Source organism: Homo sapiens, chromosome 7 (assembly GCF_000001405.40).
Source record: "Homo sapiens chromosome 7, GRCh38.p14 Primary Assembly".
Taxonomy (NCBI): domain Eukaryota; kingdom Metazoa; phylum Chordata; class Mammalia; order Primates; family Hominidae; genus Homo; species Homo sapiens.
In genome coordinates this window covers 77,610,492-77,624,860 of record NC_000007.14, presented here as the reverse complement: position 1 = coordinate 77,624,860, position 14,369 = coordinate 77,610,492, and the positions used below count along the sequence as shown (strand labels likewise).

The following is a 14,369-nucleotide window of genomic DNA, read 5'->3' as shown; positions in this document are numbered from 1 at the left end:
GACCCCACCTCAGAGTTTTTGCTTTTTTTTCTCCCCCCAGGTGATCAACCTTTTTTTATCCAACCAGATAACTGGCAGTAATCACATGGTACACCAGGTTTCCCCTTAAAAGAGACTCTGTGGGCCAGGCATGGTGGCTCACGCCTGTAATCCTAGCACTTTGGGAGGCCAAGGCAGGCGGATCACAAGATCAGGAGTTTGAGACCAGCCTAACCAACATGGCAAAACCCCGTCTCTACTAAAAACACAAAACCCTAGTCAGGCATGGTAGCGTGCGCCTGTAATCCCAGCTACTCAGGAAGCTGAGTCAGGAGAATCACTTGAATTCGGGAGGCAGAGGTTGCAGTGAGCTGAGATCACGCCACTGCACTCCAGCCTAGGTGACAGAGCAAGACTCTGTCTCAAAATAAATAAAATAAATAAATAAAGACTCTGTGAAGTTCAGATTCTCTAGACACATTCCCACATTCCTAGGACATGAGAAGATAAATGAATATCTCCAGAATACTGATCATATTAAAATGACAGCAATACTCTCATAAGATATTCCTATATCTGTTCAAGTTTTACAAGTAGATTCTTTTTTTTTTTTTTGAGACAGGGTCCTGCTCTGCCACCTGGGCTGGAGTACAGTTGCACTATCTTGGCTCACTGCAACCTCTGCCTTCAGGGCTCAAGCCATCCTCCCAGTTTAGCCTCCCAAGCAGCTGGGACTACAGGTGTGCACTACCACACCTGGCTAAGTTTTGTATTTTTTGTAGAGATGTGGTTTTGCCATGTTCATGTTGCCCAGACTGATCTCAAACTCCTAAACTTAAGCAATTCACCTGCCATGTCCTCCCAAAGAGCTGGGATTACAGGTGTGAGGCATTGTACCTGGCCTACAAGTTGGTTCTTAATCTGAAAGAGTGGCTGTCAAATTTTTGCGATCTAAAACAAAAATAATTGCAGACACCTCCTACAATTTATAAAGCATATGCAAAGACCAATAGGTTATCCTAAGAACATATTATAATACAAATAGAAAATATGAGTTTTAAAAGGATGAGATAAAATTTTGATATAAATTGAGGTGTATTATTTTCCCTACGTGTACATGGTGAGACCACTTTTCCATAATCAGTATTTTATTTACATATTTTTTATTGAGACAGAGTCTCATTCTGTTACTCAGGCTGGAGTACAGTGGTGCAATCTCAGCTTACTGCAACCTCCGCCGCCTCCCAGGTTCAAGCGAATCTCCTGCCTCAGCCTCACAAGTAGCTGGGATTATAGGCACGCGCCATGACGCCCGGCTAATGTTTGTATTTTTAGTAGAGACAGGGTTTCGCCATGTTGGCCAGGCTGGTCTTAAACTTCTAACGTCAAGTGATCCGCCCTCCTCAGGCTCCCAAAATGCTGGGATTACAGGTGTGAAACACCATGCCCGGCCTCATGACCAGTATTTTACAGATTTACTTGATTAACAAACCCCATATATCCTTAACAGTACCTTTTTCACAGGGTAGTTAGGAGAATTAAATGAGTTAACATCTGAACAACAATTAGAACAGTGCTTGACAGATATCGAGTATGATATATGGGTTTGTTAATCGAGTATTTTCAAAGTTTTTAATTTAAAAAAACTTACTCCAAATTTCAGCATTATTTTTATCTTACTCTAAACCTAAGCAAGGTTCTTATGTTGGATGTTCTATAATTTCATAATGTAACTTAAAAAACTATATTTTTTAACAATTTTATTTTTATCCATCACATTTGGTGGTGTATATCAAGCTTGGTGTATACGCTCTATATAAAAATTTATGCCCTTTAATTCTAACACATTTTTTCTTCTTTTTTTTTTTTGCTAATTTCTTCTTCCCTACTCTCCTTTTAGACTATTATTAGTTCAGTGACAGATCTTCTAGTTTTGCTTTCTAATTTCCTTATCTTTTCTCTCCTACTTTTTCTTTATCCATTCATTTTCTTGAAATGAATGAATTTCTTTATTTTGGAAATTTTATTGGAAAATGGAGTTCCTTATTTTCCAAACTTCTGCTTAATTTTTAAATTTATAGTATTTTAATTTCTTTCTTTCTTTTTTTTTGAGACAAGAGTCTCATTCTGTTGCCCAGGCTGGAGAGCAGTGGCGCGATCTCGACTCACTGTAACTTCCGCCTCCCGGGTTCAAGCGATTCTCCTGCCTCAGCCTCCTGAGTAGCTGGGACTACAGGCACACACCACCACGCCCAGCTAATTTTTTTTGTATTTTTAGTAGAGACTGGGTTTCACCATATTGTCCAGGCTGGTCTCAAACTCCTGACCTTGTGATCTGCCCGCCTCAGCCTCCCAAAGTGCTGGGATTACAGGCATGAGCCACTGCGCCTGGCCTATATTCTTAATTTCTAAGAGCTTCTTACTTATTACCCACAGTTCTTATTTCGTGGTTGCAGCATTTCCCAATGACTGAGAAAAGTGGACTGTTGTTTCTTTTTTCCCCCATCTTTTTCATTTTACTCTGTATTGTCTCCATTTCCTCTGTTTTTTCATATTAGAGGCTTCTGTCAAATGCCCAGTCATTCCTAGTTCTGTTCACTTTTAAGAACTGGAAGAACTGGAATACTGGTGGGACATGGTGGCTCACGCCTGCAATCCCAGCACTTTGGGAGGCCAAAATGGGTGGATCCCTTGAGCCCAAGAGTTTAAAACTGGCCTAGGCAACAAGGAGAAAACCCATCTCTACAAAAAATACGGAAATTAGCCAGGCATGGTGGTGTGTGTCTATAGTTCCAGCTAGTTGGGAGTCTAGGGTGGGAGGTTCAATTGAGGTCGAGGCTGCAGTGAGCCATAATCACACCACTGCACTCCAGCCTGCGCAAAAGAGCAAGGCTCTGTCTGAAAACAAAACAAAATAAAACAGAAAGAATTGGAATATTAAAAATTACTGAAAGACATGTACAGTCATGTGACGTTTCAGTCAATGATGGGCCACACATAACATGGTGGCCCCACAAAGTTATAATGGAGCTGAAAAATTCCCATGAATTTGTAGCAAAATGCGTCATTCACGTTTGTTGTGATGCTGGTATAAACAAAGCTACTATGCTGTCAGTCATATAAAAGCACAGCACATGTAATTACGTACAGGACACAATCCTTGATAATAATGATAAAGAAAATAGTTATTGGCTTATGTACTTTTTTTTTTGAGATGGAGTCTCGCTCTGTCACACCCAGGCTGGAGTCCAGTGGTGCAATCTTGGCTCACTGCAACCTCCACTTCCCGGGTTCAAGCAATTCTTTTGCCTTAGCCTCCCAAGTAGCTGAGACTACAGGTGCCCGCCACAACGCCCAGCTAATTTTTGTATTTTTAGGAGACACAGGGTTTCGCTATGGTGGCCAGGCTGGTCTCGAACTCCCAACCTCAGGTGATCCACCCACCTTGGCCTCCCAAAATGCTGGGATTACAGGCGCCTGGCCACGTACTTACTTTTTGTTGTTAATTTTGAGTGTATTCCTTCTAATTGTTAAAAAATTAGTTAACTGTTAAACAGCTTCAGGCAGGTTCTTCAGGAGGTATTCTAGAAGAGGGCACTGTTATCATAGGGGATGACAGCTCCATGTGTGTTTCTGCCCGATACCTTCCAGCAGGACAAGATATGGAGGCAGAAGGCAGTGATATTGATGATCCTGACCCTGTGTATGCTTAGGCTACTGTGTGTGTGTGTCTTATTTTTAACAAAAACGTTTAAAAAGTAAATAAATAAATAAATAAATAAAAATGAAATATACACACAACACATATTTTTATATATATATATATATATGGATTCAAGCAATCCGCCCACCTTAGCCTCCCAAAATGTTGGGACTACAGGCGTGAGCCACTATGCCCAGCCAACATGTACTTTATTTTTGTTTTTTTATTTTTGAGACAAAGTCTCGCTTTTTCACCCAGGCTGGAGTGCAGTGGCATGAACTTGGCTCACTGGCACCTTCGCTTCCTGGGTTCAAGCGATTCTCCTGCCTCAGTCTCCCAAGTAGCTGGAACTGCAGGCGCGTGCCACCACGCCTGGCTAATTTTTCTATTTTTAGTAGAGACGGGGTTTCACCATATTGATCAGGCTGGTCTTAAACTCCTGACCTTGTGATCCGCCTGCCTTGGCCTACCAAAGTGCTGGGATTACAGGCGTGAGCCACCACGCCTGGCCCCATCATGTACTTTAAACAAACAATTAATGTGTTTACTGTAGCCATACTGAAAAACAAAATATACTATTTTACTTGTTATCAATCTTATGATTTTGTGATTTTATTTTCAGTTATGTTGGAACAATTTATAATAGTTCTAAAAATCATCCCAACTTAGAAGTCACAAGGTTCTCTTTGTCAAAAATAATGACATTCTGGCATTTGACTCCATTACATGAAGAAGAAAAAAGGTGACCTATGCATGTATTATAAAATCACACACAAAGAACTTTTAGAATGTATGCCTAATAAAAATCTGTCTTGAGTTGAATATTTTTTCTTAATATGCATTTGCTTTTTTCTTTATTATCTTTTTGTTTATTAGAGAGTAACAGAAGTAAAACTTTTCAACAGGTATAGGAAAAAGGCTTTAAATTCAGATATTCTATTCTTTTTTCCTGTAAAATTAAGAAGAGACTGCTGCTACATGTAGTTAGAGGTAGAAGAACATACAAATCATAAATATCAGTGTAGACTTTGAAAACCTCTATATTGGCTCAATCTCAAAAACCAAATTAAAACACAGGGCAGCAAAAATGTTCCTTAATTTTTTTAGGGCCAGTAGTTTCTTTTAGGATTCTAGGGCTCCTATATGGAACAGAGAAGTTAGAGAACTTAATATTTTATAGGTTTCAACTGGTTACCTTCCACAGACGGCTAAAATGCCAACCAGTTTTGGTGGATACCAAAGTGGAAATCGAACAGGAAAGAACTACTAAAAGTTCTGATAGCACACAGTTAACATCTCGAACATTTAAATGTTGAGACCTAACCTCATCTATATATAGGCTTCCTGAGGTTCCTAAGAGAAGTATGCAAAGGTATTCTAGAGACTATAACTACCACCACACTTAAAAAATCTGTTACTATAGGCCGGGCATGTAACTACATGCTTTATATACATTATCACTAATTTTTAAAAACGGAGAATACGAGTACTCTCACTACAATGAAGTAAAGTATTTTCAGAGAAGTGGCTTGTCAAAGTTCATTCAGTGGCAAATGCTAAAGTTAAAATTTGGAATGGGACCTATTTATGTAAAAAGCCTCTTTATACCAGAGTACACTGCCTCTTTCTGTACTCAGCAGCTTCCTTCCCAGGCAGTTAGAATCTTGCATGGTCAAAATGAGAATAAATTATTCCTGTGGTGTGCAGGGATTCTAACCAAACCTTCAGTTACTGAGGGAAGCTGCAGGCTTTTTCTTTTGTTCAGAGAGATGATTTCGTTAGAATGATCTCTTGGAATTAGCAACTCAATGCTAAGACATGACCCTGGCCGTCTGACCCAACTTTCCCCAAAGTTTTAAGATGGAAACAATTGGTGTATCCTGTATAAAAGAATTTATTTTGATGGGAAGTCGATCAGTTTTGGCAGATCTATGTGCAAGAAAGACACTATAAAATATTCTAATAGTTTTTTATTTAATCCTTAGGACAATATTTAAACAACTCCTTCTCCCCAGGATTAAGTAAATTAATCCTAGATCCCAGAGCTAAATGGCTAAAAAGGAGTTGAAACTATCTTCTTCTGCCTCTGTATTCTCTCCATACTACCATGTTACTGACTAAGCAGCTACCCTGAACAAGAAGGGAAGGAAAAGAAAGATATGAATATATATGATTTTAACTATTATAAATGAGCTTGGTAGAAAAGCAAGAAAAATTAAAGAAATAAACTCATCTTTGCTAGTAACGTTATTAAATATCCTCACACTTCAACATGCATGCAATTTTTGGCAAGCATATTTAGTCATCAGGAAAAAAATGGGAATCTTTAGAATAACTAAAATTTTAGTTATATCACATATCAAAACATAAACCATAGTCAATTCATGGTAGTATCCACATTCTGCTACAGTATATTATTGAAATTTTATCCAAAATGAAACCAAATTTTTAATAAACCAGTAACAAATCAGTTGTCATACGTATGTTACATCCTAACAAAATAATAATAAAAGTTATAAAAGTAATTTAGAAATATTCAGAATTTGTCATTTTAATTAACAGTGAGTAGAAACAAGTATGCTTTTAAAGAAAATGTTCGAAGACATACAATACCTGCGGGTCCTTGGTGGTTTTGGAGGAGGAGAATCTTGTTTTTCAGGCTCTATGGAGCTGACCATGTTTTCAGTGTTAATTTCATTCTGCCAAGGGAAAAAATACTTCACTAAGGTTAAGAGAAAAATAATTTTTCCTCTTCATGTTTCAACTAAATTGTTTCTGTGCTTTTCAATCCTTAAACAATGCCAATTTTGCCAAGTTAAAAAAAAAAAGTCTTATATTCTGGCTCTATATTTTAGCCTGAAGGACCAGACTTCAATGGAGAGATTGTATCAAAAAAACAGCGCATCACAGTTACTGGAAAGATCAAGGTGTACAGCAGCATTTCAACACATCTCAAATGCTACCGTAAAAAAACAGATTCCCCAAGATAATGTGGATTAAAGAACGTAGTATCCCCCCGCCCCGCCATCACTACCACTAGGAACTTAATATATGCAGAGACAAAAAAAAAGCCAACAAATAAGGCTTATACCATTTACCAAGTAATGGAGTATCTTTTTATGACTCCCCATTACTACCTAGTACTTTTAAACTGGTGGTCCTAGGATTCATTTTAACCATTTCTTGCCTCACTCTCACTCTGTCACTATGTGGAGTGCTCTAATCCATTAGGGAATATAGCTCCTATATCACTGGCTACCCAAATGGACCTCAAAAAGGCAGACAGAGCCCATCCCCAGAATATCCTTGGTTCTTGCTGGTCACAAGGACCAATAACATCATTAACATTGATGTTTCAGAGTCAATACAGGTATAAGAACCTTAGGTTTAGGACTGTGAATAGGGGAGCGGTGAAATGAAAATACGGCCTTGAATTAGTTTCACTGTCAACATATCTCATATTTATCTAGCTAGGGTATTTTAATTCTAGGGTATGTTATGTCCAGAAGAGAGGAATGATTTTCACCCTTGCCAACATCTCAGATAATTTTAGACAACAGCCATCGTTACACATACTATCAACTAAGGAACTCTGAAACCGTAGCTGCATTTTGTTTTGTTATCATTGTTTTTAATTAAAAGGCACTTCTACTATGTCCATCATGACAGCTTGTCCAACTGTTACTTCAATTACTTCCAACTAAACAACTAGAGATCTCAACTTCCTAGCAATTTTAAGTGCACCCTATCTCCTTATATATAATCTGATGAATTAATAGTTTTATACATATCACTTCCTGACAAGAACAACAGAGTTATGTCATAAAACTTAAAGCATTCTTCCTTAATTAAAGCCACCCACCAAAATCGAGGCATTTGGTGCAGAAATATCTGGCTATAGGTAGGGTGACCATATAATTTATTGTCTAAATCAGGGCTCTTTTGAGAATGAAAAAGAAGCATTATTAATTATTAAACCTAGACAACTAGTGTGAACTGGTGTGCCTCACGCAAATCAGGACTTTTGGTCGCCAAAGTTTCAGATCCTCAGGTACCACCAGAATTTAGAGACTCTGCATCAAAAAGGTACCCCCTAGGCTGGGCGCAGTGGCTCACACCTGTAATCCCAGAACTTTGGGAGGCTGAGACTGGTGGATCACTTGAGGTCTAGAGTTCGAGACCAGCCTTGGCCAACATAGTGAAACCCTGTCTCTACTACAATACAAAAATTAGCCAGGCGTGGTGGTGCACGTCTGTAATTCCAGTTACTTGGGAGGCTGAGGCAGGAGAATCACTTGAACCTGAGAGGCAGAGGTTGCAGTAAGCTGAGATCGTGTCTCTGCACTCCAGTGTGGGCGACAGAGCAAGACTCCGTCTCAAAAAAAAACAAAAAAGTACCCCCAACATATTATTGATCATCTGCTTATTATTTCCATTAATGATATAACCATAATTCTGTAACACTTGATATTTTGTACCAAAATGTGCATTAAGTAGGTTAAATAAAAATTAAAGGCAAACCATATGAAACTCCTTTTGAACTGTTTCTAACATACAAAACAGCATTTTTCTTTTGTAGCACACATAAACTCATGTCATGTCAATGAAATATTTTGTTGCCAAGTGAGTGTAATATTGAATTCACAAAAACAAAACAAAACTATGTTTTCTTTGGATTTTGGAACTGCAGGTAAGGCAATGTGGACATCTAGTGAAATGCACTGAATAAAGTCAGCAAAGCAGAGGATACTAAAATGTAAGAAGGACATGGTATTATCTTTAACTTCAAAATGTAGTCTGGTAAAATCCCCAGAAAAAAAGTAGAAGGGTAATACTACAGCCCCAAAGTGGCATAATCAGTACTATGAAGCTATGAAATCAGAAAAAAAAGCTATAGTTGAGAATATTAAGAATATAATTGAGAAAAAGTAAGTTGACAATATTAAGGTAAAATGCAGAATGGCATTGAGGGATTGGTAAGATTTTGACAAAAAATGAATGAGGATTGGAAGAAGGAAAACAGGTGGAAGGGTAAAGAGAAGAGATAGTAAGGACATTTTAGGCAAACACTACATGTGAGAAAGTAAAGGTTTCATGAAGGATTCCTCATTCTGGGTGAGTAAGAGCAGGATGAAGCCATTAACAGGAAGAACCAAAAGAGAGCTTCTGGGAGAGATTAGCTTTCAGAACATACTGAGTTTCCTCTGATGAAAGGAATCAATGTGACAATGCAGAACTGCAATTCGATAAAGAGCCACTACCTAAACAGCATGTACAAAACCTCCTGGTCACTGGACTTCACAATGTTCTTGGATTTCCTAGTTAATGTCTCCTACACACCCACATCTTCTGACTCTCTTTTATTACCTATAATTTTTGAGTCCACATTTGTCATGTATACAACTTGCTGAAGCAATCACCAACTTTTGAAATGGAAAAGAATTTTAGGAATTAAATAATCTAATGCAGTGGCATGATCATACCTCTGCAGCCTTGAACTCCTGGGCTCAAACAATCCTTCCATCTCAGCCTCCCAAGTAGCTAGGACTACAGGCACGTGCTACCATACCCAGGTAATTAAAAAAAAATTGTTTTGTATAGATGGGGTCTCGCTTTGTCGCCCTGGCAGGTCTCAAACTCCTGGTCTCAAGCAATTCTCCTGCCCTGGCATCCCAAAGAGCTGGGATTATAGGCATGAAATGAGCCACGGCGCCTAGCCTGTGTTCTCTTGTTTTAAACAGAACTTTCTAAAGTTATCTTGCGTACTGTTATTTTCCATATAACAGCTTTATGAAATGCTACAAAAACATTAAGAAACAAATTATCTAATATTTAAGAATATTATCAGCTGCAGAAGAAAATAAATTATAAATCAGGGTGCTTTAAAAATAAAAAAATTATATTTTAGGAAAAAAAATCCAGAATTCATTATCACATCTAAAATGTACTATACAAACACAATAAAAGGACGATAATACAAACTGTTATTGCTATTACTTAATCATTCTAGAACTGAAATACTGGTGTTGACAGTACTTGTAACGGTGTCCTTTACACACAAGATAAAAAGGCACACTGCACAACTTAACAGATGTTTGCTTATTAAGGTACCTCTAAATCCTCAGTCAATATGATACAGGCTTACAGAATAAATTTTCTCTTTAGATCTCTCACTCCAGGAAGTCACTGTAGTTATAAATATCTCTAAAAAACACTATTCATTTTAAAGTCTTAAACAACCAACTAGTATATCAAACTAAAATTTCTACAGAAATAATACTGGAACACAGAACATTTAAACAAAACTTTTACCGATTAAATTGTCAGAAAAGTAGTAAGTGGGGACTTATTTTTACTTCTCACAGCATAGCTTCTAAATAGTTAATACACCTTTCAAGTCATTTCATTCAACCACACAGTTCTAAGATGATTTTTCTCAATTTTTCAGATTCCACATTTTCTTTAAGATTTATGGTCTGCAACCACAGACAGCCATCCTATAAAAAGAGTCACCTATATTTACAAGTTTACAGAAAACATGATTTCTTAAGAAGAAAATACTAAAAAGTTATCTGGAATGATAATCCATCTTTTCTTCTGTTTTTTTTTACTATTTATCCATTCATCTATGGAGAGATTTCTCTCAAACATTTAGTTTATGTCTACTATGTACCATGCAATGAGGTACGAAAGTAGGTTTGAAGTTAACTACTTATCTGCTATGGGTATTATTTCATCTCATCTCCTACAAAGTATGACTTTTTTATTATATTCCCGTAAAGCTCTGACCTATTAGACAGAAAGAGCCTATGATAGAATTATAATCCTAGTATAGATTTCAGGATATTAAAAAAGGATTGATTCAATGGAATAAAACCTTACAAAGATCAGACTTTGATCTAATTAGAAAAAGATGAAAAGGTGATGCGGTATTTATCACATATTTTCTGGAGATTATTTAAATATAGTTAAAAGTTTTAAAAAATACAACAATAGCTGGGCACAATGGCTCATGCCTGTAATCTCAGTGCTTTGGGAGGCTGAGGTGGGGGAGGACTGTTGGAGCCCAGGAGCTCAAGACCAACCTGGCAACATCTCTACAAAAAAAAATTTTTTTTTAATTAGCTAGGTGTGGTATATGTGCCTATAGTCTCAGCTACTTGGGAGGCTGAGGCAGGAGGAAAGCTTGAGTCCGGGAGGTTGAGGGCGCAGTGAGCCCTGATTGTTCCACTGCACTCTGGCCTGGGTGAAATAGCAAGACCTCGTCTCAAACAAAACAAAACAAAACCCAAACACTGAATATTGCAATAAAAGAACTTTAGCCTATAATTCCTGCACTTTGGGAGGCTGAGGCGGATGGATTGCTTGAGTCCAAGGATTTGAGACCAGGCTGGGCAACACAGTAAAACCTCATCTCTATAAAAAAAATAAACTCGGCAAGGTGATGTACCCGTGAGTCTGGGAGGCTAATCTTTTTTGTATTTTTGGTAGAGACGGGGTTTTGCCATGTTGCCCAGGCTGGTCTTCAACTCTTGGCCTCAGGTGATCCTGCCTGCTTCGGCCTCCCAAAGTGCTGGGATTCCAGGCATGAGCCACTGCATCCAGCCTAAAAACCTGTATTTCCAGATATAAAAACTTTAGCTTTGAAATTAATCTTGAATTCATGGAATAAAACAGAAATGCTTTTCAATTAAAGTTTAAAGATGCTGGGTGCAGTAGCTTATGCCTGTAATCCTGGCACTTTGGGAGGCTGAGGTGGGTGGATCACTTGAGGTCAGGAGTTTAAGACCAGCCTGGCCAACATGGTGAAACCCTGTCTCTACTAAAAATACAAAAATTAGCTGAGCATGGTGGTGGGCGCCTGTAATCTCAGCTACTTGGGAGGCTGAGGCAGGAAAATCACATGAACCCGGGAGGCAGAGGTTGCAGTGAGCCGAGACTGTGCTACTGCACTCCATTCTGGGCAACAGAGCGAGACTCCATCTCAAAAAAAAAAAAAAAAAAAAAAAAACCCAAAAATTAAAGAAAACTGTTTATAGCCTACTCAGCTTTTCGAAATATTAAATATCTCAACTTAGATTAAATTATACAAAATAATACAAATGTTTGGCCGGGTGCAGTGGCTCACACCTATAATCCTAGCACTTTGGGAGGCTGAGGCAGGGGGATCGCCTGAGGTCAGGAGTTTGAGACTAGCCTGGCCAACATGCAAAACCCCATCTCTACTAAAAATACAAAAATTAGCTGGATGTGGTGATACATGCCTGTAATCCCAGCTATTCAGGAGGCTGAGGCAGGAGAATCGCTTGAACCCGGGAGGCAGAGGTTGCGCCACTGCACTCCAGCCTAAGTGACAGAGTGAGACTTCGTCATCAAAAAAAAAACCAAAAACCAAAAAACAAAAAAAACCAATCAAACAAAACAAACAAAAAACACATTCGAGGCCGGGCGCGGTGGCTCATGCCTGTAATCCTAGCACTTGGGAGGCTGAGGCAGGCGGATCACCTGAGGTTGGGAGTTCGAGACCAGCCTGACCAACATGGACAAACTCCGTCTCTATTAAAAATACAAAATTAGCCAGGTGTGGTGGCACATGCTTGTGATCCCAGCTACTAGGGAGGCTGAGGCAGGAGAATCGCTTGAACCTGGGAGGCGGAGGTTACGGTGAGCCAAGATTGCACCATTGCACTCCAGCCTGGGCAACAATAGTGAAACTCCATTTCAAAAAACAAAATAAAACAAAACAAAAACACATTTGATTCTACATTATAAAATATTTGGCTAGATTCAGAGCATGTCATAATAGGATTTAATTAAGCTAAAGGCATTGTAGGAGGATTTCCTTGCACAATAATTCCTATGTTAATAAAGGAATAAGAACGATGTCACATAAAACTTAAAAACGTGAAATTGTCACTTGGCTAATAAAAGAAATGCATATTTCCTAAAACTCATGGACCGATATTAGATTATCCTAACAAACTGAGATCAGCATTTGGTAATAAATCTGTCATTTGGAAAACCAAGAAAATTCAAACAAATATTCTGGGAACTGACAAAACCATTTAAAGGGAGAAAAGGAAAATGAAGGTTATAAATTTTGCAACTTATTTTCTCATACTTGGTTTAACAATGTAATAGTTATCATAGACTCAATGACAAAGATGTAAACAAATTCTACAAAAAAAAAAAAAAAATCTCAGCACCTTCAGGGACAAGGTGGTTATATATAGAATTGAAGCAAGACAATTGGTTAGAAAACAAAGGCAGAAATGAGAATACTAAGAGAATACAGTGTTTTTGTCAGGTCTAGAAGTTGAATATCCAGTAAGATGTTACAAGGCTAAAATAACACTGAATTATAACACAACAAAAGGGAGTTAACTGTGGCTCTTTAATTCTGCTTAACTGAAAAGCATATACACAAGGCCAGGAGTGTTGGCTCATGCCTGTAATCCCAGCACATTGCACACTGGGAGGCCAAGGCGGGCAGACCACCTGAGGTCAGGAGTTCGAGACCAGCCTGGTCAACATGGCGAAACTCCGTCTCTACTAAAAATACAAAAACTAGCTGGGCACAGTGGCGTGCGCCTGTAATCCCAGCTACTCAGGAGGCTGAGGCAGGAAAATCACTTGAACTTGGGAGGTAGAGGTTGCAGTGAGCTGAGACTGTGCCATTGCACTCCAGCCTGGGCAACAAGAGTGAAACTCTGTCTCAAAAAAAAGAAAAGAAAAGAAAAGCATATACACAAATAACTAAAACACTTTATACAAAATGAAATTCAAGTAGAATCAATGCAGAATTACTTGGGTGGGGGTGGAAGGGAAGAGTAAAGAGAACAATGCAATTATTTTTTAAAAAAGTAAAACATTAACGAATTATATGATTTTTGACATGAGATCTTTCCTAACTTTATTTCATTTAGAACATAATTTACCTTATATCGGAGTCATTAAATAGCCATCATAATACAGATACGAATAAGAAGGAAATGAGTTTAAGTAAAAATGTTAAGTGTCCTGGATATTCTTCTCATGTTAGACAAAACACAAGACAACAAAAAAAAGGCTAAATATTACATCTTAACAAAGAGTAAAAGTTTCCTAAAATTAATAGACCAAGAACACCTACCACTCCATCAGCAATTTTCTGAGCTCCATGAATTTCATATAGTTGTAGCTGTTTTTCAAACAGTTGGGCAATAGCTCTATGAACAAGTTCATATTGCTCCTATGAAGGAGAAAAATGATTAAAAAACAAAATGAAAACAACATTTTAAAAAAGAAGAAAGCATTTATAAAATAGCAGTTTATAAAGGGAAACAAACAACTATACCTTTGTTTGTACTGCAGAATGCCTTTGTGTTCTCATTTCTTGTATTAAATTAAATACATTAAATTCCTCTGGTATTTTCTAAAACAGAAAATTTAATACATCAACTTTGTGTATCTATTCAGAAAATAGTAAAATCTTCTTCAGCTTTTCACATAAAACTTAAATACCTGCTGGTTTACTGCAAACATTTATTGAACACCACTTAATGCATCTCAGACACTGTGCTTGGCACTGTGGAAACAAAACTGTTCTTGACCCTCAGCATTCAAGATGGGGAGACAGTTATGTCCAGCCAAAGTATGACTGCAGTATACAGGGAATAAAGAGGCTATGGCTAACTGTTGAGTGTGT

At 38.0% G+C, this 14,369-nt stretch overlaps 1 protein-coding gene across 11 annotated transcripts in view; it reads right to left on the bottom strand.

The window, feature by feature from the left end:
* Positions 1-14,369, bottom strand: part of PTPN12 (protein tyrosine phosphatase non-receptor type 12) — a 102,775-nt gene that overhangs the window by 15,209 nt on the left and 73,197 nt on the right. For all 11 annotated transcript variants that reach the window (XR_007060120.1, NM_002835.4, XM_006716073.5 and 8 more), the window contains 3 exons: positions 14,019-14,096; positions 13,815-13,913; positions 6,296-6,381 (listed from right to left, as the gene is read on the bottom strand). Coding sequence is in view for 10 of the 11 variants with exons in the window: in NM_002835.4 (NP_002826.3) it covers positions 6,296-6,381; positions 13,815-13,913; positions 14,019-14,096 (263 nt within the window). In the remaining variant the exon portion in view is untranslated. The remainder of the gene's footprint in view (positions 1-6,295; positions 6,382-13,814; positions 13,914-14,018; positions 14,097-14,369) is intronic.